This window comes from Homo sapiens, chromosome 1 (assembly GCF_000001405.40).
Source record: "Homo sapiens chromosome 1, GRCh38.p14 Primary Assembly".
NCBI classification, from domain to species: Eukaryota; Metazoa; Chordata; class Mammalia; order Primates; family Hominidae; genus Homo; species Homo sapiens.
Window position 1 is genome coordinate 234751943 of NC_000001.11, and position 26724 is coordinate 234778666.

The following is a 26724-nucleotide window of genomic DNA, read 5'->3' on the forward strand; positions in this document are numbered from 1 at the left end:
TCTATCTCTTCCCAGCTCCACATCCAGTGACATCATGGCAACAGCTTGAAATTGGCCATGGTGGAGGTACGTACACCACGGAAATTGGCAAGTGCTATGAAATCAGAGGTTTCTTTTCGTTGATTGGTTGGTTTCATTATTCGAGAGCTATTGTTCAATGTTTACCAGCACAACCACTGGATAGGTAGTACTCTTATCCCCAGTTCACAGATGAGAAGTTGAGGTTTTAAGTAACTAATCCAAGGGGTCATGCAGATTTCAAATTCATGTCTTCCTGAAACTAGACTCCAGGGAAGAGCCCAGTGCAGGCTGAGAGCTGTTGAGGGCTGTCTGGAGGGAGCAGGAGGTGGGGTAGGGCAGGAAGCCATTGGGATCCCCAGTAATCCAGACCCAGTGGAACCTGCTTTGAAGCACCCTTCAGAATTGAGAGACTGTGCACAGGGGCCCCAGGAGAATTGGATGTGGCCTGGCTCCAGCAGCCGCCCTCACTACAGTGGAGGGTCCCAGGACCTTCCGCTACCCTGGGGCCACCCTTCCTCATGTATGGGTTTTTCTTTCCTCTTTGGGACAACTAACTGATATTCCGTTTTAAGAACACATAATACTCTGGCCATTCCTGGGGTCAACAACCTCTCAGAGGTGATCAGGGTAAGGTTTTGTGTGTCAGGAATAATTCTTCAGTGTGCTAATACTCTGGTCTGCAACCTTCAAACCCAGTCTTCGTGACTGACTGGAGCAAGGCTGGGGCAAACAGTATGTCAGGAAACTGCACCGTAGATATTCCGATGTCAGCACAGAGAGGATTCTGAGACCCAGACGATGTGGATATGACTTCTGAGTCACCCATGTGAACCTGTGATATGGAGGGGAGGTGGGAAGTAGGGAACGGAGTGATGGAGAAATGGTGGAGGCTGGAAATCTATGTATTATGAGGGAGGAATGGGGATGAAATTATGCACTGGAATTCTTTACCTCTGATGATCAGGTAGGAAAGAGGGGGCAGCTACTCCTTCTCCACCTCCTCTATCGCCTGCATCTTCTTTCTTCGGCTGCAGACACGATCCCTGATTTCCCTTCTGTCTTGGTCAACAGCCTAAAGATAGATAGTGGCTGCTGGGACTGATGGCGAGTTTCAGTTACTTTTCTGCCATGGAGACCTCAAATCATCTCAGTCCACAGCGCATGTGCATCATATTTGCTTTCAACCCCAAACCGAGCTCTGGAAAACCCAGGTTTGAGCCACAGAGAGCAATCGCTACCTTTTCAATAAAGCCTATGACACATAAAATGCTATAGAAACACAGTTTAGTGCCATCTTGTCCTTACTGTGTAAATCAGAACAGTCATGGTTACCTCTTATCGTGCATCAATATGCCTTACAAGATAATGGAGATGGAGCAGTAATATTGTTGAGTTTTTTTCCTCCCTTCTTAGCTTTCCAAATCTTTACTGACTTTTTGAAATCGCTGCCTAGCGCAGTAGCAAATGATGTATGAAATGAAATATTGCTTCCCCCAGCCAAGCAATGGCTTCCTCATCATTGCTTCAGTATTTATTATTTGAAGTTGTGTTTGGGTTGGCTACACTCAGAAAAACACATCTTTTTTTTTTTTTTTTTTTACATTAGACCAAGAAAGAAGGTGAGGAAGGAGAGAAGCAAGAAAGATTTGTTTAATTAGAGAAATAGACTAAATCTGTATAGTATCAAAATATTGTTTTGACTGGCATTTCCCTGATGTTTTCAGATTGTCCAAACATAGAAAAGAGAAGCCTTCTTCACTGCCTTTTTGTACCTTCTTTCATGGGGGTTCACCATTAACTATCTGTCAAGATACAGGAGAAATACCATCTTCCTGTGGAGCTTTTCCCACCAGTTTTTAGCATGTGATGATTCCTGCCCCCTTTTAATTGTTCTGATCTTTCTGCAGTTGATGTCTGCCATGGACTGAATATTTGTGTTCCCCCAAAATTCATATATTGAAATACCCGCAATCAGATGGTATTAGGTGGTAGGGATTTGGGAGGCAATTAGATCATAAGGGAGGAGGTCTTATGAATGGCACTAGTGCTCTTATAAAAGAGGCCCCAGATAGCTCATCTGTCTCTTCCACCACGTGAGGAAACAGTAAGGAGATTGCCGTCTATGAGCCAGGGAGTGGGCCCTTGCCAGACACTAATCTGCTGGCATCTTGATCTGAGACTTCCCAGCCTCCAAAACAGTAAGAAATAAATATCAGTTATTTATAATCCACCCACTCTATGGTACTTTGTTATGGCAGCCCAAACACCCTAAGACATTGTCCAGGATCACATAATTAACTTTTTATTATAGTTTATTCTTTCCCTAATAATCTATATATAAAATTTAGCTCTTTTTTATGTCGGCATGTAATGTCATCTCTTGCTCTCTAATTATCAGTGGAAAGTAAATCTATGGTCTGAGCTCACATTCCAGTTTTGCGACTTACTACTATTTGTGTGTAACCTGAAAAAATTTACTTCACTTCCCTGTGCCTGAATTTCTTACATGTAAAAACATATTATAACATATCATGTGTTTGCAAAAGCTATTAATTTTTTATATTATTTTAAAATATGTGTGCCTTTTCCCTTGCCTACCCATGCAGACGATGAGCTTCATGAAGTCAAGAATCATTTGTATATTTCTTGTGTTCATTGTGGAATCGAGCACCATGTTGAATGTTTGTTGATTGACAAGTGTTTCACCTTTCTTTCTTCCTGTCAGTTTAGGTTTTAGCCAGTGCATTATTATAAGCCAGACAATTACTGGAGTTACTCGAAGCAACAGAAAATATGCTCCCAAGTTCAATAAGCAAAAGCAATAGATCTAAATGACAAGCAACATGTATCAAAAGAGGCCACACATTCATCTTTCTGTGTGATCAATTTTGGGCAGATGTGATACTACTTTTCTTGTAAAACAAGCAGTGATTTTTATGTTCTGCATAAGGGTTGTATTCTATTTCTACATTTTGAATGAAGGTAGGTTTTACCCAAGTTTAGTAATGATAGCTACGTTTATTGAGTGTCTACTGTGCAGTGGTATACTGATAAGTAAGTTCTTGGGAAGACAATATCCCCGCTTTGTGGCACTGGCTGATTTCCATGGTGAAAATACTCTTGCCACGGCCAGTTTCAAGCTACCAGTGTAATGCCACCAAACACAATCTCACCTCACCCACCAGTGGGAGCTGCTCCTGCCACCTCCCAAACTGTGTCAGAGCTACACAACTATTCACAAGAATTTTCACAACAACCCTACAAGGAAGATATTATTGATATTGTTGGCTCCCATCCTACCAATGAGAAAACAGGCTGGGAAATTATTTGCCCAAAGTCGCATAGCTAATAAGAGGTGAGTTTGGGATTTAAACAGAGGTCTGCATGACTCCCGAGCCCACTGCCTTTCCAGTGCACCCCACTTCCTCACCACACAGCTGTGCGTGAATGGAAGAATGTGGTGACCCACTACTCACAAACTCTGGCAACACTGGGTGAGCGGAAGTGTCTCCAGACAAAGACCCATGACTGCCCCCAAAATGCAAACCCAGCCTTGGAAGACATGAACTTTCTCACAAGCTATGAGGTGGCTTCGCTGGGCAGCTGTTATCTTGCTCAGTTTTGGCACATTACCATGTGATGCAATCAAGCCGGTCACGTGGCACCCACTCAGAGCATCCAGCGGCACCACAAGTAGTCAGAGTGTCTGGAGGAGGGCATGGGAAGAGCCCTCCTCACAGAAAGGCTCAGAAGGGACACAAACGCCCCTGCCCTTCCAACAGCTGCTGGCCAGCAAAGTACATCGGCTTTCAGTGATCCTGCATGTGAGTAGAAAGGGTGTTTCCAGCACATCCCAAAAAGGGTTTCAGATAAGTCCTGCAGCTTCGGGCTCTTTCTTCCACAACTTCTCCCTGTTTTTTAAATGGGGGACAAGAGTGCTTGTCTCTCTATAACCCCAGGAGATTCATGAATAATGTCCCCGAAGGCTGTAAAATGACAAGATGGCAAGAGGCACATAAACACAGTGTTATCATTTTCCTCCACGACTTGGTTTTCTAGATGTTGCACCTTGCTATAAGCCCCAGATGGAACCACAGCAAACCCAATAATTGCTTTCCACACTGATGGCAGTTTTAAAGAGGTCCCGCATTGTGAAATAATGATATTGACAAAAATAATAATAATACCTCGTGTTTGAGTAACACCTTTCTTCTTAGGAGCTCAAAGCACTTTACAGACACAAGAAACGTTGTCAACAGACGGACAATTAATAGAAAAAAAATGACTCATGTTTTAAGAAGTTACTCCGTGGGGGATAATGGTGCTGTTATCCTCACAAATCGACTGGTGAACATAATATCCATTTCTGGTCTAAACCAGGAATAAAAATGCCAGGTAGGACAAGAGCAAGGGTACCTGGAGTGAGCAAGGAAATCAAGAGGGCTCCTCTCCCGTCATCTACCTGAACACAGTCTAGACACAGCCACAGCCTGGGACAATTCTGGCCCCAAGTGACCCCATGACAAGAGGCTGCTCAGGGACCCGGGTGATTAATATGACGGGACAACCACCCGCTTTGTAGACTTTTCTTGAGGCTTCTTTCTGGGGTTCAGATGGAGGCTGTTGAGTCATCACAGCGGATGCTCAAAAGAAAAGAAAATCAAGAAGCCCATCCCCAGGGCCCTCCTGCTAAATGAATGGCAGCCCCACCCTGCTCCTCACCCACTTCCCTCCCCTCTGCTCCCCTCAACCTCCTGCGTTTACCTCCCGGTACTCACCCAAATCTACAAGCTCTGCAAAGCCAGCTGCAGATATCACAGGTGATTTTGAGCTGTAAGAAATCATGAAGCAAAGGCATTTGCTGAGAGGCCACTCTGCAAAGTGCAGTGCTGGATTGAAAGGGTGGGGAGTGAGACCAAGGAGAGGGGAAGGGAAGGGGAGAAGCATTGATTTAAAAGCTGAGTGTGGAATGTACCAGGTTTGTTACCTGTGCTAGCTCATTTGATCTTCATCAAATGCCCTGCGATTGAGGTGTTGTTATCCCAGTTTTTAGATAACAAAGCCAAGCATCAGAGAGCTTAAGCAACTTATCAGGGGCCACACAGCTGTCAAGTAGCAGAGCCAGAAGGAAAATCCAGGTGAGTCTGGGTTTCCACTTCAACGACAAGTTAGGGAGAGGAGCTGAGAGTGAGCGTCGAGAGCTGTCAGAGCGGGCATTGAAGACCGTGGTGAGGAGTTGGAGGCTGGTTGTAAAGTCATGGGAAACTATATCCAGGCATCACCCAGATGAGCAGGGAGGAGGAATGGATCTGAGGGGCACTGTAGAGAAGGGACTTGGGGGATGGATTGTCTTTGGTGTATAAAAGGAAGAAGGTGTCAAAGAGGATCCAAGGCAGCAGCTCTACATCCTTGTTGAGTCCAGAACCCCTGTGTGACGTGCAACTGAGAACGCGGGATGCTTCCCCCAGAAAATGCACACAACCCACTCACAAACATCAGCGTCATTTTGGGGGAGTTGCTTGGTTCAAGATTAAGGTTTCTCGCCCTGTGAAGGGCCTGAAGTGGTGAGAACATCGGCATCCTGCGTTTGGCTTATAGGACTCTCAAGACAATTGTATATTTATTTTCAGAAAAGAAAGGAAATATCTCTGAAACTTGAAATTAAAAACCTTATTTATTTTAATATAAGAGAGGAGTTTCCTTGTTTCCGTGTTTCTTCTGCAAATCTGATTAGTAGGACCGCCACAGATGCCACTAAGGGTCACTTCACAAATCACCCTATTCTTCTATGCTTACAGATACCTATTTGCAAAAAGGCTACAAGTCCTAGTAACTGGATGAAAGACATTTGGGGACAAAGGTCAAAAACGAGGGGAGGTTGGGCACGGTGGTTCACACTTGTAATCCCAGAACTTTGGGAGGCTGAGGCGGGCGGATCGCCTGAGGTCAGGAGTTTGAGACCAGCCAGGCCAACATGATGAAACCCTGTCTTTACTAAAAATACAAAAATTAGCCAGGCGTGATGGTGTCTACCTGTAATCCCAGGTACTGGGGAGATTGAGGCAAGAGAATCACTTGAACCCAGTAGGCGGAGGTTGCAGTAAGCCGAGATCACACCACTGCACTCCAGCCTGGACAACACAGCGAGACTCCCTCTCAAAACAAAACAAAACAAAAAAAAGGGTAACAGGGTGGATCCAAAGTTGCTCTGGAAAGTCAAGTCTCGAATGCCCCAGGAACGTGAAGCCTTCATAGAGCCAGCGAAGGGGGTCTGCGTCCAGGATGTGGAGCGGGTTTGCAAATCTGGGAAGCTACACAAGAAAATGCCACTGATACACACGAGACAGAAAGAGAATGGGTAGAGGCTGATTGGGAAGAGGAATGTGCCTGGATGTCCCTGGTGGCAAGTCTCATTCTACCTTTCCCATGGAGAAAGAGGGAAAGACGAAGGAGAGTGAGGAAAGACCTGGGAGAGGAAGCCCCGCGGTCGTTTATCATCTATGGGGTGGAGAAATCAGAAGTCCCCACAGCCAACTATAAACCCGCATTGCATCCCTCACCCCAGTGCTGATACTACCTAGGCAAGCTTGGGGCAGTGCGCTGGTGGGAGAGGAGGCCAGGCACCCACCACAATCCCCCCAGGGAGTAAAACTCGGGATGGGGAGGGTGACTGCATCCAGGAAGGACCGTCTCAGCCCAACCTCACCATCGCGTCCGTGCGTGTCTGCTGGAAACCGGTCTCTCCCAAGGTTGCCTAATTTTCTGCCTAAAATATAGGCTGACCTGCAGCTTACTCCTTCGATATGCTGTCTGGTGCGGGGGGGGGTTGGGCTGCTGGGGCTTAAGGAGAGAGTTTGGTGGAGATAAAAAAAGTAATAATAATAAGCCTGATCCACCATTCTGGACACCCTTTCCAGCTCTCTGCTCCATGAAGCTGTGTGTGTGTAAGAAAAACAGGGTGTGTGAGTGTGTGTGTGCGCGCACACCAGCAATCAGTGTGGCGAGGCCAGAGGCTTTCATCACTGAAACACTGAGTTCCTGTTTATAAACATTTGCTCACTGTTTTGTTATGTGGGGGAATTAACCACAAAACATGACCCACGACGTCAAGCCCTCCATCTTCACATCCTTCATACCGCATGCACTTTCTCTCTCTACCTGAAAGCCGCTGAGTAGAAAATAATTTCTCTGCAACAAAGCGGGGAATGCCCAGAGAAGAGAAGGCGCCTCTACACAGACTTGAAGGCTTGAAGGGAGGCTGGGGAGACCTCCCACCGGCGATCACTGACCCATGGGGCTGTCTCTGGGAAAAGTCATCACATGGGCCATGGCTGAAGGCATTACTCTTTCTGGGGCTTTTTGGAGCCCCAAAAGATATTGGGACCAAAACAAATGTATCTCAATGGCATTTGCGCGCCATACTGGGCAGGGGGTGAAGGTCTAGTCTGTATGAAGAGGAGAGGAAGACCAAGCAGAACAGAATGCAGCTGAGACCTTGGGATAGAATGGAAGAGGGGATGGATCCGCTGAGAAGCTTTGGGGCTCCCAGGTTGGGAGGACTTATGCAGACTGAAAGGAGACCTCAGGAGCAGAGTTCTGAGGGGAGGCACTGGCTGTTGAGTTTGTTTTCCTGACCATCCTCCAGATAAGATGGTTCTTTCTGGTGAAAGACTGAGCATGCTGCTATTATAGTTTGGGGGCATCCCAACAGCAGGATGCAAGTGTTCTGCGAACCATATTCCACAGAGTGCTGGGGCTCCAAAGTTACCCTGGAGAGCCCGTGGCAGGGGTGGGGTGAGTCTTGCCCTCTGAGAGCCCTGCCCTGCCTTCAAGAAGAGCAGTTCCTCTTCCATCTGCTTGAGGCATTGGAGCTCCTCACTGGATTTCATGGTAAGAATTCAATCACCAGGAAAAGTTTGGAAGCCTCTGGATCAACGATATCCAAAGTCTCTGATCTCAGCTTGGAGGTGCTTTGAGCCTCTGGCCCCGGTGCTCTGCACTGTCCCAGAGAAAGGGGTGGGCCACTTTTGGTCCTAACAAGCAGTTCACCAAGAACAGGGCAACGGCTAAAAGATGAAGGGTGTCCAGACGCCGATGAGGGATCCCAGGCCCTGGAGAAAGACGGTTACAGGATACCAAGATTCCTGGTGGTTTTCCAGGGCATTCCAGTATTAGAGCCCTCACCCTCCTTCCCGAGGTTCTGCGCTGATCCAGTGCAGAAGCTGCATGCACTGGAGAAATGGCTAACTCTGTGCCCAGGGCTGGACGGAGCAGCATCGCAGATCAAAAGGCCGCCACCCCCAAGAAGTCCATGAAAGGCAATCACCCCTCAAAGCAAACGCTCTTCTTTCCAGGACTCACAGAGATTATCAAGTCCCAGCTCTTGCACCCCCCAACATGCCCTTTCCCTTCCTGCCTCATTACTCTGTTGAAGTTCCATTCCTGTTCCACAACCACCCAGATCTCTCCCGTGCCTCTGCCTTCCTTCCCAATGAGAAGCAGGGGGAATGCTGGGTGCCCATTCTTTAAAACAAACAGGAAGTGGGGGAGGGGGAGCTGGGAGGATTGAGGGGGAAGGGAGAGAATGGCATTCAAGGACTGGAGCTTGACATTCTAATGCTTTGGGCAGGAAGGGAGGAGGCCACCATGCTTTACTAGGTCATGGAGAGGCGGAGCAGGCCTTTGAGCACACGCTCAGGCCAGGGCACCACAGTGCAGGTTGCTCAGAGGCTCCCCGGGCCTAGAGCACGGGCATCAGTTTCACCCACTCTGGGCATTTGCTGCCAACTCGGGAATACCCTTCACTTTTCCATTACTTCTGCATGGCAAATATATGTATAGATATTATCGTGTGTGTATGTGTGTGTGTGTGTGTGTGTGTGTACAATCAAAACTTATCCTCTGTAGCGAAAAAAAAAAGTATTAATTATGTTTTGGATTGTCTTCATAGAGATCTGAGAGCATAATTTAAGTAAATACTGTAGTCATGACTAGCAATGCTATATTATTCTTATTTGAATTTTAACCCTAAGAATTTTCCAGTCTGCTAGCCAAACCAACACTTGGGCACATTTATAGTTCTCAAAAGCTAAACTCATCCCAGTGTTCTCCTGACTACTATGAGAGGTTTGGAGTTCTGGAGTTCGGACATGACACGGTTTCCCTGCATGTGTGATGAGACGTGTGTGGATGTGTCAGAAGATCGGCCTTTGGGTCAATGCGTATTTTGGGTGCTGCTTGCTTCTTGCTCCTTTGGGTGTGCCCAAGTCCCATGGCCTCTTTCAAGAGTTCTGAGCAAACCCATTCCTGTTCCCCTGTCTCATGGTTCGCCAGACATTACTGGGGCAGGAGAAGGGCTGTCAGCTGGGGCAGTCAGCAAGAGTGACTCTCTGATTGCCCTGGCTAGGAGCCCCTTCCTGATACCCAGGTAAGAGCAAACTGTTCCTTGAACTGTGCACACAGGGCATGGAAACCCTGCTTGTCAATGGATTGAAATGAAAATCCCAAATTCTACACTTTCTGTGACAAACAAGCCACTGGGCTTCCTTTGACTTCTTCGTTGTTGTGGACTATGATTCATAACAGTTTAGTATGTTATGCAACTAGATAATCATAACTATATGTGTGTAATATAGCATACTCTATATGTATGTAGTATAGCATACTCTATATGTATGTAGTATAGCATACTACATATGTATGTAGTATAGCATGAACACACACACACACAAAATGTTAGGATGGTGTGTTCCAACACAAAGGCATGCACACTCACAACCACACAGCAACAACCCCTCTAAGCGTTCCACAGCCACCAGTGTCTCAATCAGCCTCGGGCCGCCCTATCGCCTCCTCGCCTCCCGAAGTCTGTTCCATGCACTCGTAATTGTATCGTCTGCATTATCGGGCACATTCCTTTTTTTTTTTTTAAGGTTACTGAAGTGAACTAATTTATTTGGTCTGGTCATTTTAGCACCAACAATTATAGAAGAATCGGCCAATTATTTTTATTTTTATTTATTTTATTGTTTTTTTATTATACTTTAAGTTCTAGGGTACATGTGCACAACGTGCAGGTTTGTTACATATGTGTACATGTGCTATGTTGGTGTGCTGCACCCATTAACTCGTCATTTACATTAGGTATATCTCCTAATGCTATCCCTCCCCCGACCCCACAACAGGCCCCGGTGTGTGATGTTCCCCACCCTGTGTCCAGGTGTTCTCATTGTTCGATTCCCACCTATGAGTGAGAACATGTGGTGCTTGGTTTTTTGTCCTTGTGATAGTTTGCTGAGAATGATGGTTTCCAGCTTCATCCATGTCCCTACAAAGGGCATGAACTCATCCTTTTTTATGGCTGCATAGTATTCCATGGTGTCTATGTGCCACATTTTCTTAACCCAGTCTATCACTGATGGACATTTGGGTTGGTTCCAAGTCTTTGCTATTGTATCGGGCACATTCTTGCCAGCAAAGAATTTCCATTTTGACTAGGTGTCAATGGAAACAGCATCTTCTCCTTACCATTTTATACATCTGATAACTGAAAAACTCTCCGAAGACTAGACTCTGGCACCACACATTGTAAATCCTGTTTCCACTTTCCTATCAGCCTGGCTCTGGGGACACGGGCCACAGGACATGTTTATGCTGGGATATGACCTCAGGCCCTGTCCTCCCTGTGGAAATGCCACAAGAGCCAGCACAGGGGGCTGAAGGTTGTCCCTGCAAGCCACTTCTACATCAGAACAGCTGGCGATAGCTTCATACAGGCTGAAGAGACTGCAAATTGCATCAATGTTCCACCAAATTCAAAATAAATATCTCCCCGACTTAATTTTCACTTAGCCAGATCCCAAAAATGTCCAAAGCCACTTCAATATGACAAGAAACTGATGAGGTGTGTGGAGGCAAAGTTGAGGTGAAAAGAGACAAAAGTCTTTTTTTTTTTTTTTTTTTTTGAGATGGAGTCTTGCTCTGTCACCCAGGCTGGAGTGCAGTGGCGTGATCTCGGCTCACTGCAAACTCCACCTCCCGGGTTCAAGTGATTCTCCTGCCTCAGCCTCCTGAGTAGCTGGAATCACAGGTGTGCACTACCATGCCTGGCCAATTTTTGTATTTTTAGTAGAGATGGGGTTTTACCATGTTGGCCAGACTGGTCTTGAACTCCTGGCCTCAAGCAATCCACCCACTTGCCCTCCCAAAGTGCTGGGATTATAGGCACAAGCCACTGCGCCCAGCCAAAAGTCTTAATCTATTTATGTTATTTTTGCTAATTGTACAAAACACATGGTCTTGGGAACTGACTGCTATGGTACCTCCAGGCCCATGCAAGAGATGAACCTGAAATGGAAGGACCCTGAAGCTTAAAACTCATTAGCTTCATACTAAGTCCACCTCTGCATAGGATTTGGCAACTAGTGGTCCAAGGGGTAAGGGAAACAAAGTCTTCCAGCTGCAAGGAAAATCCTACACAAAGGTGCAGAGGCCAGAGAGCTCAGGACTGTTCAGCAAGCAGGGAGAACAGTCATAGGTGAGAAGCACGCAGTGGATGTAGATCTGAAATACTCGGCAACTGCAGACCACAGAGGGTTGCAAAATGTCAGGGTAAGATATCTTAATGTCAACTGTACAGCAAGAAGCTTCGAAGATTTGCCCTCCCGTGGCCTAAGGCAAGGACTACCCCTCTCCAAGCCCTGCTTTAGAAAAAGAAATCTGGGATGGACAGATGGGAGGCAGAGAGACCAGCTCAGAGGCATCAGCAGCTATCTGCCGCAAATCAGGATTCTCTGGGAAAGGAACAACACAGTGATTAACAGAAACACACAAAGACTCATGCGCGAGCCTTGAGGCAGTGCCCAACTCTTCTTCCTCCCCTGATCCCATTCACACTTGGATGTGGCATAGCCCTTTTCTCTGATACCTGGCTGCTGTGATGTGTCCTCAGCCCAGCTTTACCTGTGGGGTCACAGTCTCTGGAACTACGCTCCACACCCGTCACTGTCCTACCAGGGTGGTGACTCTCAGTCACACTGTCCAGGATGCACCTGACACCTGTGGATGTGGTTTCTGCCTGTCCTCTTAGTCCAGGATGCAAGAGGAGGCGGTGGCTTAGTTCAGGCAGGAAGAAAGAGAGCCTCCACAGGGCTGTAGCCTTGGGAACCGGATGGAGGGACCAAGTGGAGAGAAGGTCAATTAGGCAACTAAGTGTATGCAGAAGGCAAAGAAGACGGACACATCAAAGAGGACGCTGATGGCCACAGTGGAAGGAAGAATGTCTGTGTGTTTAGGCTCCAGGAGAAGCCCAGCGCTGCAGAAATTGACGCATCTCAGCATGGGTGTGCTCAGTTGGAGGCTGCGCACATCTCAGATTTGCCTCCAGCACAAGGCTTCATTTTAGAGCTTCGTGTTCTGGCACCTTGGTCATGGAGAGGCTGGAGAATCTCCTTTACCTTCTTGCCCCCCACCACCTATGCTCTCTCCCTGGGTGATCTTACCAGTGCCCTAGCTTTAACTTCAGCTTTGCATGGGGGCCCAGGCCTCTGCTTTGAACTATGCACTTGCTACCTTGCGCTGGCATTTTACGGAGCTTCCTGCTATAGTTAGACATGTTCTTTATGGCCAGTACCCACTCTGGCCAGTCAGTACCCCTGCCACAGTGATTGTTGAATTGTTTTTATTGTGATAGAATACACACAGCATGAAATTGACCATTTAAGCCATTTTTAACTGTGCAGTTCAGTGGCACTAAGTTCATTCACATTGTCGTGCCACCGCCACCATCCGTCTCCAGATTTTTTCATCTTCCCAAACTGAAACTCCATGCCCATTAAGCACCAATTCCCCATTTCTCTCTCCCCAGCCCCTGGCAACCACCATTCTACTTTCTGTCTCTATGAGTTTGACTCCTCCTCTAAGTATTTCTTTCTTTTTTTTTGAGACAGAGTCTTGCTCTGTCGCCCAGGCTGGAGTGTAGTGGCACAATCTCGGCTCACTGCAAGCTCCGCCTCCCAGGTTCATGCCATTCTTCTGCCTCAGCCTCCCAAGTAGCTGGGACTACAGGCACCTGCCACCACACCTGGCTAATTTTTTTGTATTTTTAGTAAGACGGGGTTTCAGCGTGTTAGCCAGGATGGTCTCGATCTCCTGACCTCGTGATCCACCCACCTCGGCCTCCCAAAGTGCTGGGATTACAGGGGTGAGCCACTGCGCCCAGCCCTACTCCACGTATTTCATATGCAATATTTGTCCTTTTTAACTGGCTTATTTCACTCGGCATAATGTCTTCAAGGTTCATCTCTGTTGTAGAATGTGTCAAAATTTCCTTCCCTTTCAAGGCTGAATACTCTTCCGTCATATGGATAGACCACCTTTTGTTTATCCATTCATCCACTGATGAATGCTGGGCTGTTGTGACTAATGCTGATATGGATATGAGTGTACAAATATCTGTTTTGAGTCCCTGCCCTCAATTCTCAGTGGATATACACCCAGAAGTGGAATTGCCAGATCATACGGTAATCTTGTGCTTTGTTTCTGAGGAACTGTTGAATATTTTTACCATCACACCTGTTATACAATAGGTACAACTGCTACTTCACAGCTTGACTCAGGTGTCTAATTAGCATCTCATAGTGGAAATATCCAAGCCCAAAGTCTTGATGGTCCTAAGCCTATTCCTCCCCAGCTTCTCCTACCTCCATAAGCGGAATCACCACACAGCTGGGGCCAGGGCCCTTGGCAGCATCAGCAACTCCCTCTCACTCTGCATCTCCAACCCATCAACAAATCCTATCAGCCCTATGTGCAAAATATATCCAGAACCAAATCACTTCTCACCACCCTGCTGCTGCCACTGGACCCAGCCCACCTTGACCTCTCACCCTCACTATTGCAGTAACCTCCCCAAATAGTTGCTCTTTGCCCTTTTACCAGCTAGTCTTCATGCAGCTGTTAGCATGAGCCATTTAAAATGTCAACCAGATCCCTTCACTCCTTTGATTAAAACTTCCAATCTTCTCATCATAATTAGAAAGAGAAAAAAGACCCAAAGGTGTTACCATGTGCTGTGATGTGAATGTTTGTGTTGCCTCCAAAATTCATGTTGAAACTGAATCTTCGATGCAACGATATTAAGAGGTGGGACCTTTAGGAAATGATTAGGCCCTGAGCACTCTGTCTTCGTGGATGAGATTAGTGCCTTATTCATGGCTGGCGGGAACTAGCGAACCCCTTTTGGCTCTCTGCCTTTCGCCCTGTGAGGAGCAGCAAGAGGCAGCATCTTGGACGCAGAGAACAGCCCTCACCCAACACCAACCCTGCTGGCACCTTGATATTAGACTTTCCAGCTTTCAGAACTATGACAATTAATTTCTTTTCTTCTTCTTCTTCTTCTTTCTTTTTTTTCTTTTTTTTTCTTTTTTTTTTTTTTTTTTTGAGATAGGGTCTCACTCCGGTTGCCCAGGCTGGAGAGCAGTGACGCAATCTCAACTCACTGCAGCCTCGACCTCTTCAGCTCAGGTGATTCTCTTCCTCAGCCTCCCGAGTAGCTGGGATTACAGGCATGCGCCACCACGGCCTGGCTCATTTTTGTATTTTTAACAGAGACAGGGTTTCACTGTATGGGCCAGGCAGGTCTCGATCTCCTGACCTCAAGTGATCCACCCATTTCGGCCTCCCAAAGTGTTGTGATTCCAGGCCTGAGCCACCACCCCTGGCCTAATTTCTATTATTTATAAATTACTCAGTCTCAGGTATTTTATTACAGCAGCACAGATGGACTAAGACACCATGGGCTGTATGAGTGGCCCCTCACCTGGCCTCACATCCTCTATGCATGCCCACTCCTGCCTTTTCCACACACACATTGATTAGGTCCTGCTTTGAGGTCCCTGACCCTGGGTGTTCTCTCTGCTAGAAATTGCTTCCCACAAATCATCACATGGCTTATTCGAAATGCTACCCCCTCAGAGATGGCTCCCGGATGATCCTATCTAGACTAGAACAGCAACTCTCATCACTGGCAGTCTCCTAATTCAGTTTCCAGCTCTTCAGCTACCTAGCACTCCTGCCCTTACAGTACCTGATTATTTACTGGCTGGTTGTTTATTTTCCCCCTAGAGTATAAGCTCCGAGATGGAAGGGAGAGGGTTCTGATGGCTGCTGCATCCCTAGGGCATGGAGTAATGCCCAGCATGGAACTCCCTGCTCTCCAGGAAGAACGCGCTTCCCGTCGTGAGATGCATGAGCACATCTCAGTCTCCAGGGCCAGTTCAGTTCTATGGACACAAGGAAAGGGTGAAATGCTAAGATCCACACCGGAGACACATAGGTGGATTCAGTGCTTTGGGATTCCCAGAGTCTGTGGCCAGTTCTCTTCACCAGTGGAGTCAGAGCCTACCAGGCCAGTAGAGTAGGGAGTGCACCCTACTTTAAGTGCTTTAGGAAAACCTTGCACCCACAAATAGCTCTACCACTAACTAATCTATCACTCTCTCTTAAATTTCACCATTAATAGTGCAATTCTTTTTTACAGGAAGAGGGGAGAGAACTAAAATGTACTCAGTAGTTAGTAAATATCAGGCAGCATTCAAGGTCACCAGCCATCCCAGTGTGCCTGGTCAGAGGGATTTCCTGGGACATTCAGAGCTAAAACTAGGATAGTCTTGAACAAATGGCATAGTTGGTCACCCTACTTCATTTCCTGGTTTAGCTCTCTCATCAACCATATGTGCATTTTACTCATGAGAAATCCTGGCCTTCAGTCATGAGGCCAATGTGGCAGAATTGGAGTCAAGGCTTCCATGGCTCCAGGGTCCAGGTCCTCTCTACCATATCCCAAGGGCCCCCTGACCTCCCTTCAGAGGCAGTAATTCTGAGATAGCTCTGTGCAGCTCTCTCCTCATAAAATATACTCTACAGCACTCAGATCATGAGATATGGAAAAGAATGGATGAAGGCTTGCTGGAAAGGCAGGGACAGATACTTTGCAGGAAAAAAAGGACTTCCAAAATGTGCGTGGCAACTTGGGGTTTCAAAAATCTTTGTTCTAAGGGCCGGAACTTTAGTGCCAACCTGACATTGGGAAGGGGTAAGAACTGATGAAAATAGTCCTAACTGAGAAGCACTTTGAGCTTCTGGGAAAGAGACTGCTGCATTGAAGTGGCCAGCTCTAGGTCACATCACAGGACCTGGGTGGGCATCATTCTTTCTGACGCTTGGCTCCTCTATCCTAGTTATTTGAGATTTCAAAGTAGTCATCTGGTTTATCTCTTCAAGTGTGACCACATAATACACTGTTCAAACAAGGACACTTCTAAGAATGAAAGGGGAACAATTCATAATTAGGCAAGGACAACAGTGGGGAATGGGACTCTGCCCCGGTTAACTGGGATGCCTGATCCCCCGGCCAGCTCTTCTGATCATGAGGAACTGAGTTGTGATCTTATCTTCTAATGCACCAAACAAAGCAGGGAAAGTCCCAGCCGCACGCCATTGCCACTGGGCTCTTCTGCCTCCCTCTGGTTCTGCCCCATGTCCCAGGGTCTAAAGAATACCTTTTCCCCAAAGGTCTAAATACTCCTTTGAGTCATTTGCATCAAATATCAGCATAGAAATGCTTACTTCAACTACTCTTTCTTGATCACCACAGAGTTTTCTGAGCACTCACCTTGAACAGGGCCTCTTCTGGGTGCTACAGACATTTTCAAGGGAGAGAGACCTCGCCCACCCATAGGCAGTGAGCTGGCTGGCTGGTGGGTGAGTCTGTTGGGGGGGGAACCTGCCCCTCCTTATGTTGCCCCTCAGTGACTGACCACAGGCTTTGGAAAAACCTCTTCAGCAGGGTACCGCTTACTCTGATCTACTTAAACGTTGACTCCCACGCCCTGAGGAGGAGCCGAGCGTGCCAGAGCAGCAGAATGCAACTTTGCTAAGATCAAAGTGCGAACCTGCTGAAGCTGTGTGTCTGAAATTACCCAGAAATCGCTTTGTGCTCACTCGTGGAGCAGAAGTGATGGTGAGCAAGTGTGCAGAGACCATGAAGGACTTGGTGCAGGGATGAATATTGTCTGCAGCTGGTTTTCTCCAGTCCCTGCCAGTGCACCCAGTGTCTGTTTCCGCACTACTGGGGCCCTAGGCTCAGCACAGTGCCAAGTACATAATAGGTGCAAAGTAAATATCAGTAAGTCATTGAATGCTCGTCTCCACGGACGATGCTGGGCCTGAAGTAGCCTAAGTTTGAATCCATGCAATGGACCATGGTCGAGGGCTCACGGCTTCATGATGAATCCTGGAATGTTAGCGCTAACAGTGTTCTTACAGGATCAAATCCAGTCCCAGTCAGTTTCAGCTGAGAAACTCAGGTGTGGGCCCAGAGAGTTTAAGATCACTTGTCCAAATGTTGTGAATGCCAGAGGCAACACTGGACTCAGGTGTTCTGGGCAGTAACCTTTGCTCCTCTCTCCCTACCACATGCCCCCCAGGCCAGCTGGCCCTTCTGACCAGCACCATCTGTCTGATGTCTCTTTGCCATTACTCGGAGGCCTAACCTCAGCACTGACAGGCTGCTTGACCTGGAACCTCGCCACTATGTCCTAGCCATGCTCCCTGACACCCCCGCTCTCTAGCAAAACTACTCCCTTCTTCCTCTGCATGCGATTAATTATCTCATACAGCATCTCTTTTCTTTTCCCACTGTATTCCTGTTGGTTCAAGATGTGTCTGCATTCCTTACCATTTTACCGGGAACAGTGTCTTTTTCATCTTTGTCTCTCCAGTGCCTCAATTGCGCCTACCACGCATGTATTATACAAATGCGCAGCTTGCTGTGTGACCATGGCCCAATTGTTCACCGTCTCTGGGCCTTCTCTTGGATTTATAAAATTAACGGGGCACTACTGACTTATCTCACAGAGCGGCTGTGTCCTAATGTATATATTGTTGCATAAATATCTTGGAAATGCAGTGGCCAACGACAGCGCTCAACAATAAATGCTGTGTGCTGAGAGCAAGTGTTAGAGAACTTGAAAGGAGGCTCTTCTCTCTGTGATGAAAGAAACGGAAGGTGGCTCTGCAGATCCCCTCAGATGATGCACGCTGTGGACCCGAGCACCGAGCCTGGGTGGGGAAGGAAGGAACTTAGGAGAGGTGTGAGGGCAAGGGCGTCTTGTGGAGAGAGCTTGACCAAACCCTGACCCTCCTCTTTGTAGAGCCCCCGGGCTCGTCTGCAGGGTCTGTGCAGGCCGCCTGCCCCCTGCGCCAGCAGGCGAGGAGGACAGCCTCCCCTTCTCAGCAGGACCCCTAGCCCTGCAGAGGGAGCTGGGAGCTGGCTGCTTTTAATTAGAGCCGCTTCTTTCCTGTTTTCCTTCGCGGCTGGTTTCCGAGCTTCCCTCACCCTCTGCTGATTCCCCCAAGCAATTTTTTTAAGCATCCAAACCGTCTGGGATAAGAAAGGAGAAAGCTATCATTATGTGTGTGAGCTGTGCGGTGGCTTCCGCTGGCTTCCCAGACGTTTGGAGGTCGTCAAAAGGCTGGCTCTGCTGTCTGGACATGGCCTGAGGAAGCCTGGTGCCAGCTTTCTGCTTCCTATGCCACCAGCTCTGCTTATGTATATATTGAGCACCTGCTGTGTGCCAGGCCCCCAGATGAGCAAATATAGCGTCAGCCCAAAAAGCTGAGAACTATTGTCATGGCTCTCTTAGGTCTAGAGCTGTGGCAGTGATCACCAGCACGCTGACAGAGGTGTGAACGGAGCACCCCAGACATGGAGCAGGAATGAGAACGACTGGCACGATGGGTTGCACCAACGAGAACCTTACAAGGAGAACACAGCCTCAATCTGGCTCCCGTTCCCTTTAGAACTCACTCTCGTTCATGGCTCGTGGAACCCACATTCATTCGGAACGCAAGAGGCTCCAGAAGGGCTGTCAGATTTAGCAAAGAAAAATGCAGCATGCACAGTGAGATGTGAACTTCAGATAAACAACATATAATTGTTTAGTGTAAGTATGCTCTAAATATTGCATGGGACATGCTTTTTATTATAACATTGAAGGTATATTTGCACTAAAAAAGGGATGTGTTGTTTATCCGAAATTCTCATTTCACTAGGCATCCGGTATTTTATCTGGCAACTCTTTTCCAAGGTCAACAGAGAGTCCTAGACCATAGACCAGAAAGTCCATTCTACCCGACACTGGGCTACAAGAAATGTATATTTGTGGGGATCAGCCACACTGGGAGAAAGATAGCTGTCTCATGTCACCAGGGTAGATGAAGAAAGGGTTCTAAAGCCTAGCAGCATTCATATGATAGGTACCTGGGCTTGTTTTCAAAGATCAGCAATCAAGGGGAAATGACAGAGACGCTGGAGGAGGCTGGTCCTCCCAGAAGCTAGTGGCTTGACCCAAGAAGGAAGAAAATGGCGGCTGCCTTCCCGGACCCAGGCTGTAGGCCGGGAATTCCCAGCTCTTTGATACCGTATTCCAACTGGTATGATCTGTTCGATGCCTGCTCTAGCTCTATCCCAAATATGTGTTATATGGCTTCCATCAATATTTTTTATGTAGTGCAAGCTTAATTTAATCTGAGAGTGGTTTAAGAATACACATACTTCTCAGCCATCAAAAGAACACGATTAAGAATCTCTGTGCTAGAAACTAGAAAGTTCTAGGAGATTACTGAAGGAGAGGCAGGAATGGGAACTGAGATGAAGAGGGCAAAGACTTAACCACCGACGGTCCATTTTTGGAGGAAGTGGCTGAGTGGAGTCTGGAAAAAAAAAAAAACAACAACCAGATAACCTGAAAACCAGCTGGGCTGGAAGCAAAGAGAGGGCCCAGGCATTAGCCCGGCCCTGGGGGCAGCCCAGACACACCCCAGCATTTCTCAGGGGGAAGAAGGCACAGCCTGCTGTTATTTACAAAGCTGTTGTTGAGAATTTTGAGGATCTCTTCCAGGTTCTCGCTTATGTAAATTCTAATTCACAGTGCCCTGGCCCCACATGTCTCGTAAACCAGGCCTGATATTGTAAACCTTCGCCATTCACAGAGGGTTTTAGCTTTGCCTTTGTTCCCCTCTCCAATTTCCCACTTCACAAACCTGGATCTAAAGCTTTGCACGTAGTTGATAGGGAAGTGTCGTTTGAGCAGTTCTAAGAGGCTGTCTTCCTTCTTCCTCCGACCCCCACAGCTCTGGTTTCCTCTTGGATATCAATTATTGGCTTTTACATAAGAAGGCTAATGCATTTTCAAAGCAGGCAGATCACTCTCCCATGTTTTGACAGTTTGGCTTTAGTTGAAATATAATTAAACTTTTTGAAAACAAGAACCTTGAAACTCAGTCTTCACACTGTTTGCAGGTTTTTTCCCCCTCACGCATTCAGTTTTTACTTGCTGCGGCACAATTGATTTGGTCTTCACTTTCTGCGCTCAAAACAAACACTGGGTTTAGGCATTCTGCTCTCCCAGCACCGCATGGCTGAGGGTGGAAAAAAATAACATCTGAAACAGGCCGGGCTTTTGATGATACCTCCTTATGACAGACACATCGAAAACCACCGACGGTGAGTCACCCACATTCTGTGCATACCCTCTCCGAGGAGCAGGAAGTGTGGCTATTTTAAACCCTGAGGCAATGAGAAGTTTTCAGATGCGTCCTAAGGCGCTCCGGCCAGCGCCCTGCATGCACACGAGGGCCTTCCTCAGTGTGGCCCCAGCACATCTGTAGACCTGAGGCGACACACCCAGCCTTCTGCCAGCATCTCTTTGTTTATTCTGCTTGTCCTGGTTTTGCGTTGACACGAGCAAGCCGAGTCTAAAAAACACAGAGCTACAGAATTTATAAAATCAACAAAAACTTAAAAAAAAAAAACAAAAAAAAAAACACACCACCACCACCAACAACAATCGGAGCCTGGCAGTTGGTGAGGGTGGGTGGGGGCGAACAGATGGTGCCACAAGATGTCCTCGGGCGGCTCACTGGGGACCGAGCCTTGTGGCTCTGTGGCCAAAAATAAATAAATAAGTCAGGGCCCAGCAGAAGTGCTTTCACTTCTAACCCAAGTCACTAGCTGTGGGTAATGAGTCCTCTTACTCCTTGTTCCCCATCTCCAAAGGCCAAACAAACAAGTAGAAAAAAAAAGAGAGAGAGTGAGAGAATGAATTGAACTGAAATGAAATGACTATAGATGAAAGATATATATATATATATAAAGAGTGGCGGGGGCGGGGGAAGCCGGGCGCTGTGGCTCACGCCTGTAATCCCAGCACTTTGGGAGGCCGAGGCGGGCGGATCACGAGGTCAGGAGATCAAGACCATCCTGGCAAACACGGTGAAACCCCGTCTCTACTAAAAATACAAAAAAATTAGCCGGGCGTGGTGGCGGGCGCCTGTAGTCCCAGCTACTCGGGAGGCTGAGGCAGGAGAATGGCGTGAGCCCGGGAGGCGGAGCTTGCAGTGAGCGGAGATCGCGCCACCGCACTTCAGCCTGGGCGACAGAGCAAGACTCTTGTCTCAAAAAAAAAAAAAAAAAGTGGCAGGGGGACTTGAGGGAAATAAGCCAGATGTTGCCACAAAAGCAGTTACAAATCCTGACCTTGTTTGCTAAAGGGAGCAGGCTCAGCCAGGATGCGAGACATCTCCAGGTGCTGGGAGCTTCTGAGGATGGTGAGCTCCCAGACCGAGGCAGCAAAAATGGCCTAGAACCCATCACTGTGTGGGGAGGATCCGGCTTCCTTGATGTCGGGGAAGCGTTTCCAGAACACTGGCCACTGATAGAACCAGCGGTCGATGTGGCAGGGCCTGGGATTCAGGCAAGACTCCATTTGGCTGTAATGTTTTTTATCTTTATCGGCAGTTTTCTTAGAGAATGAAATTGTTTGGGAAGTGGAAACCCAGCCTTCAGCATCTTTTAGCACAATGTGTTAAGACTCCCGAACTGGTTGGGAGCTGTATAAGCCACACAAGCATTCCAAATAATACATATTCTTTCTATTGTTGCAGATGCTAACTGCCTCCTAACTCTGATAAAACCTAAAGAATTTGTTGGTGGAAGAAAGTCCTAGAGTTTTAAAAAGCAGCTGCAGAAGAGACCAGGCCGCCTACACCCCTTGGCTTGTGGCCTCTTTACTCCACCTTGACAGCCAGCAAGGTGGCCTCTCTGGTACCTTTCTTTTGCATTCACTCTCCCTCTGTCTCCTCTTGTGACTAGCTGTGGGTAATGAGTCCTGTTACTTCTCATTCTCAATCTCCAAAGGCCAAACAAACAGGTAGAAAGAGAGAGAGAAGGAATTGAGCCGAAATGAAATGACTTTAGAATAAAGATTTGTATACTAAAAAAAAAAAAAGAGTTGGGGGAACTTGAGAGAAATGAGCCAGATGTTACCATGAAAGCAGTTATAAATCCTAACCTTGTTTGTAAAGGGAGCAGGCTCAGCCAGGATGCTGGACATTGGTCTCACCTGGAGAACTCAGGCTTCTCTTCCCACTGTAAGGTCAGCTGATTTGCAGCCTCAGCTCCTCCTGCAACCTTCCTTTGCCTTTGCCGTGTAACCTAACACATTCCCAGATTCCGGGGATTAGGGTCTACACATCTTTAGGGGGCATTATTCTGTTGAGGGTCAGTGGTGTCCTTAGCACTGAGACAGTTACTTGTCTGTCTCCACAGTTTATTTGTTAGGACATATGACCAGGCAATAGTTGCTCTGTATAGTAGAAATACAGTCAAATAATAGTGTAAATTAAATTGATAATACACATTTACTATCTGCCAGATATAAGCACTTCACTTCATGCGTGTTAACACTCATTTAAGACTCATGATAGTTCCATGAGTTAGGTACTATTATTAGCTCCACTGTACAGACGAGGGAAAGTATAGGGTGTATCCATGGTTGGGAAACGGTGGAGATAGTGTTAGAACCCAGGCCTCTGGCCCAGGTTCCAGATTCTTAGCTAATAGGATTAGAAAAATACAGGGGTGTTGCCCTCCAAATACCAAGGACAAGACACAAAGGCAAAGTGCCTTCCTGGACCCTTCTTCCCCACCATGCCCCTGTGGAGCCAATGGCCCTGTCTGTTATATCAAGGCCCTGAACAGCAGGGAAAGGTGACTCAGAGAGTTCTGTTCACCCTACAGGCCTTGACGCCATCCAAGACCTGACCACATGAAGTTGAGCTTTCAGCTATGGGGAGCCAGAAACACACCCTGCCTTGCGTGCTCAGCTTGGACTGTAACAGTACAAGCCCAGTGACAGCTGGTGCCTGGAAACCATCTTGCTGCTGTTTCCTGTGAGTGGAGAGGATCTTCTTCTGCAGAGGAGAGGAAACAGTGTCATCAACTGGGGTGTGTTCCTATGCTTCCAAGGATCCTGGAGTCATCTGCTGGAAGGGGAGACAGTGAACTCTGCAAGGGGAAGTTGGCTATGTATTTTCGTGCCCCTCAGTAGTCAAATCCTATGGAAACAAACAAGGCTGGTCTCTGTAGATGGGACCTCCCACCCACGTAGGGTCAGTTTTTTCCCCAGAATAACAGAGGGAAGGCAGGGCCAGAAACATGGTTTGGGAGTTGCTCTCCTAGAGACCCTGGACTGTTTCAGGGCTCATCGCCTCCTTGGTCCAAGACGCAGTAGCTGGGCCCAGTTGACAAAAGCAGCTCCAAACAAGAGGGCATGAAGAACCAACTCGAAAGCTCCTCGGGGCCCCAGGGAAGTAGGACGGAGAGAACCTCAACCACCAAGTTCCGCAAATTTCACAAGTTTATTACAAACCCCAGAAGTGTTGTTGGGTTGCTTAAAAACGATTTAATTTTTGCAATCTCCCGAAGAGAGCGGGTGCCCCAAATTAAAACTGATGTTTCAAAAATAATAGCTATGAGGATGAAAGACAGTCCTTCTCATGGGAGGGGAGCAAGGAGGTGCACAGAGAAGCACCCTAGTGTCAAAGCTGTAGGGAGCCCTTTCTTGTGATGTATGAGTCTTAGGAGTCTGTTGCCATGATGGGGCCCATTCTCCCGTTATCTAACCAGAATAGTCACCTTCTTGTGATTCACCTAGAAATCTGATTCTTATCAGAACTCTGAGCAACACAAGGGAGGAGGAGGCCTCCTGATGTCATGGAGAAAAGAATGAGCTATCGCATCAGATGGGCCTGGATCTGAATCACAGCTCAGCCACTTATACTTACTTTGTACCCCTGACAAGTTACTTAAGTTAACTGAGCCTCCGTTACCTCAATTGCAAAATGAAGATCAACAGCACTGATCTTGCTTGGTTCCAGGGATGCTTGGTTCCAGGGATGAGATGGTTGTGCTGTTAAGCATGAAAACTGGTACCTATGGGACCTTGACGATAGTTGCTACTATTACTGTTGCTTTTCATGTCATTATTGCCAGCATGAATATGATCCTCAAAGTGGCCTTCCTCATACAATTCTCACAAGTCCAGCGGTAAAGGAATTGAGTATATGAAACTTCATACATGTCAGAGCTCTCTTTGGAGGGTCCAGCGGTGGGGTACCAAGGTGGAGCTCCAGTTACAGCATGTACTTCCCCAGGCACAGGGCACCGTCCTCAACAGCTGGCATCATTGCACCTGCAGCATCTGCCCCTTCCCAGAGCCTCTCTCTTACGCTTTTCACATCACTGGAGAAGCAGCTTGCAGGACCACACCGTATTTCACTTTTACGGTGCAAAGCCAGAAGGTGCCCAAAGGAGAAGCACCTACTCCCGTGGTGAGAAGGTGGGCACAGGTGCAGCTGCGACTCACCAAGAGCCAGGCTGCCAGCCACACAGCCAGGGACACCGCAATGGGGGAAGGGGCAGCAAGGATGTGTCAAAGATATTCCTTTCCAAATGACTTTGGTTGAAAGAAATGCTTCCGGTTCGTAACCTGGCCTCACATTTTATAGCTAAATATGAGCCGGGTGCGTTGATGGAGCCATTTTTGACATATTTCAATTGCACTGATTGCCTGACATCATTCAAGTCACCCACGTTTCCCCAGCACAGGCCACACACTCGGGTAGATTCAGTTATTTTCACGAGGACAGCCTCCCCAGCCCTGCAGAAGTCATTGTCTTTTTCTGGGCAGCCCCTGTGGATGGATTCAGCTGCAGTGACCAGCACACATGGTGGTTAATGGGAGTTCTAAGAGGGAGAGGCCAGTGAAGGTCGGGGCTCATATGGGAAACCAAGTCATTTCCCACCAGGAACGTTTGGCACACTGACCCCTCACCCAGGCAGCTGATATGATGGCTAAAGGGAACAACAAGTGACCACACCCACTCTTGAGAGCAACTGCAAATTGCATGTGGCCACGAGGGTCTCTGTAATCTGTTTCTGTTTGCTAAATGCCTCTCTACCGGGGGCAGTTAAGACACTCGGAGAGTGGACAAACTTGGAGGATGTTGCTCAGTTCCAGAAAAGGAAAAAAACATATTACACGTACATTGGAGGTAAATCAGCCTGACTGGTTCTCGAGAACTCGACGATCTCAAATGTCCACAAATAATTGTGCAAAGTGGAGACCAACAGGCAGAGAATCCAAGTAGATAGTGACAATAGTAAACACTGTGCTAGGCACTATTTTAAGAGCTTTTGTATATTTTAAGAGCTGTTTGGCTGGGCACAGTGGCTCATGCCTATAATCCCCATACTTTGGAGGCTGAGGTGGGAGGAGTGCTTGAGGCCAGAAGTTCAAAACTAGCCTGGGAAACAGAGCAAGACCCCATCTATATAAAAGCATGTTTTAAAAATAGCCAGGTATGGTGGCATGCACCTGTACTCCTAGCTACTCAGGAAGCTGAAATAGGAAGATTCCTTGAGCCCAGGAGGTCAAGGCTGCAGTGAGCTAGCATCTTGCCACTGCACTCCAGCCTGGATGACAGACTGAGACCCTGTCTCTAAAAACAAACAAACAAGAGCTTTATGTATATTAAATGTTTACATGTAATCCTTATTATATAAGGTAAGTACTATTATCCCTGTTTATGGGGCAAGTACTATTATTATCCCCATTTCACTGATGAGGAAATCAAGGCAAGTGAAGTCACATCCCCAAGGTGTGACAGAGCTGGTAAGTGACACAGCTGGGATTTGAACACTCGCTGTCTGGCTTCTGACAAGGGTCTGTGTGCTTAACCTTGAGGCTAAGTTGAATAAATACAGCACATCTTGCCAAGCAAAGAAAAGAATCTAAAGATGTTCAAACTCTCCCTTCAGCAGAGGGCAAAGGGTGGAAAGTAAGCAGCTAGCACCAGGTGAGCGAGAGGAGGCAGGTTGATAAGCCAGCTTCCTTCCCAGGAAACCCCTTCTGTCTTAGAGGACCCTGTAAAACCTTCTTACTTCACCAAAATGAATCTCACAACTGTTGGAAAAACAGAGCCACCCTATCCTGTTCCCCCAAACACTGTCCCCACGTCTATTATGCAAGCGCCTATTACAGCGAGTTGTGGATGTCTCTTTTGTGGTCATGGTTTTTAACTGCAAATGAAAGAAGAAACCCAAGTCAGGAAGCGTGCATCTTACCAATCCCACATTTGGGGGTGCAGGAGACCCCGAAATGTGGGCTGTCTTTGGAAAGAGTAGAACACTCCGCGTGGGGCTGGCGGGCTGCTGCTGGGAAGGATGAGGTATGGTAAGGGCTGAGACAACCCCAAGATAATCTGGGGGAAAATCCTGGCAGGGGAAGGAAGGGAAGTGAG

The 26724-nt window shown here is 47.4% G+C and overlaps 2 long non-coding RNA genes across 2 annotated transcripts, besides 10 other annotated features; one reads left to right on the forward strand and one right to left on the reverse strand.

Moving 5' to 3' along the window:
* LOC107985364 (uncharacterized) lies at nt 1-26211 on the forward strand. The gene is made up of 3 exons (XR_001738532.2): nt 1-66; nt 22027-22186; nt 23162-26211. It is a non-coding gene; the product is annotated as an uncharacterized LOC107985364 (long non-coding RNA).
* On the reverse strand, nt 5677-8114 carry LINC02961 (long intergenic non-protein coding RNA 2961). Its single transcript, NR_148962.1, has one exon. It is a non-coding gene; the product is annotated as a long intergenic non-protein coding RNA 2961 (long non-coding RNA).
* Nucleotides 8636-9215: an enhancer, noted in NCBI's record as "H3K27ac-H3K4me1 hESC enhancer chr1:234896325-234896904 (GRCh37/hg19 assembly coordinates)". NCBI's record gives its function as "activates a minimal SCP1, AML or CMV promoter by ChIP-STARR-seq in naive H9 embryonic stem cells {active_cell/tissue: H9 hESC(naive)}" and the evidence as "EXISTENCE:reporter gene assay evidence [ECO:0000049][PMID:30033119]".
* Nucleotides 9216-9793: an enhancer, noted in NCBI's record as "H3K27ac-H3K4me1 hESC enhancer chr1:234896905-234897482 (GRCh37/hg19 assembly coordinates)". NCBI's record gives its function as "activates a minimal SCP1, AML or CMV promoter by ChIP-STARR-seq in naive H9 embryonic stem cells {active_cell/tissue: H9 hESC(naive)}" and the evidence as "EXISTENCE:reporter gene assay evidence [ECO:0000049][PMID:30033119]".
* Nucleotides 19464-20663: an enhancer, noted in NCBI's record as "CDK7 strongly-dependent group 2 enhancer chr1:234907153-234908352 (GRCh37/hg19 assembly coordinates)". NCBI's record gives its function as "activates an origin of replication core promoter dependent on BRD2, BRD4, P300/CBP, MED14 and CDK7 cofactors, with strong dependence on CDK7, by STARR-seq in HCT116 cells {active_cell/tissue: HCT116}" and the evidence as "EXISTENCE:reporter gene assay evidence [ECO:0000049][PMID:35650434]".
* Nucleotides 19464-20739: a biological region, named in NCBI's record as "CDK7 strongly-dependent group 2 enhancer GRCh37_chr1:234907153-234908352".
* Nucleotides 20420-20714: an enhancer, noted in NCBI's record as "tiled region #10170; HepG2 Activating DNase matched - State 5:Enh, and K562 Activating DNase unmatched - State 5:Enh". NCBI's record gives its function as "activates a minimal TATA promoter and a strong SV40 promoter by Sharpr-MPRA in HepG2 and K562 cells {active_cell/tissue: HepG2 | K562}" and the evidence as "EXISTENCE:reporter gene assay evidence [ECO:0000049][PMID:27701403]".
* Nucleotides 20450-20669: an enhancer, noted in NCBI's record as "active region_2766". NCBI's record gives its function as "activates an Ori minimal core promoter by ATAC-STARR-seq in GM12878 lymphoblastoid cells {active_cell/tissue: GM12878}" and the evidence as "EXISTENCE:reporter gene assay evidence [ECO:0000049][PMID:35858748]".
* Nucleotides 20690-20739: an enhancer, noted in NCBI's record as "active region_2767". NCBI's record gives its function as "activates an Ori minimal core promoter by ATAC-STARR-seq in GM12878 lymphoblastoid cells {active_cell/tissue: GM12878}" and the evidence as "EXISTENCE:reporter gene assay evidence [ECO:0000049][PMID:35858748]".
* Nucleotides 20760-20929: an enhancer, noted in NCBI's record as "active region_2768". NCBI's record gives its function as "activates an Ori minimal core promoter by ATAC-STARR-seq in GM12878 lymphoblastoid cells {active_cell/tissue: GM12878}" and the evidence as "EXISTENCE:reporter gene assay evidence [ECO:0000049][PMID:35858748]".
* Nucleotides 20950-20999: an enhancer, noted in NCBI's record as "active region_2769". NCBI's record gives its function as "activates an Ori minimal core promoter by ATAC-STARR-seq in GM12878 lymphoblastoid cells {active_cell/tissue: GM12878}" and the evidence as "EXISTENCE:reporter gene assay evidence [ECO:0000049][PMID:35858748]".
* Nucleotides 24826-25402: an enhancer, noted in NCBI's record as "H3K27ac-H3K4me1 hESC enhancer chr1:234912515-234913091 (GRCh37/hg19 assembly coordinates)". NCBI's record gives its function as "activates a minimal SCP1, AML or CMV promoter by ChIP-STARR-seq in naive H9 embryonic stem cells {active_cell/tissue: H9 hESC(naive)}" and the evidence as "EXISTENCE:reporter gene assay evidence [ECO:0000049][PMID:30033119]".
* Nucleotides 26212-26724: the final 513 nt, after the last annotated feature.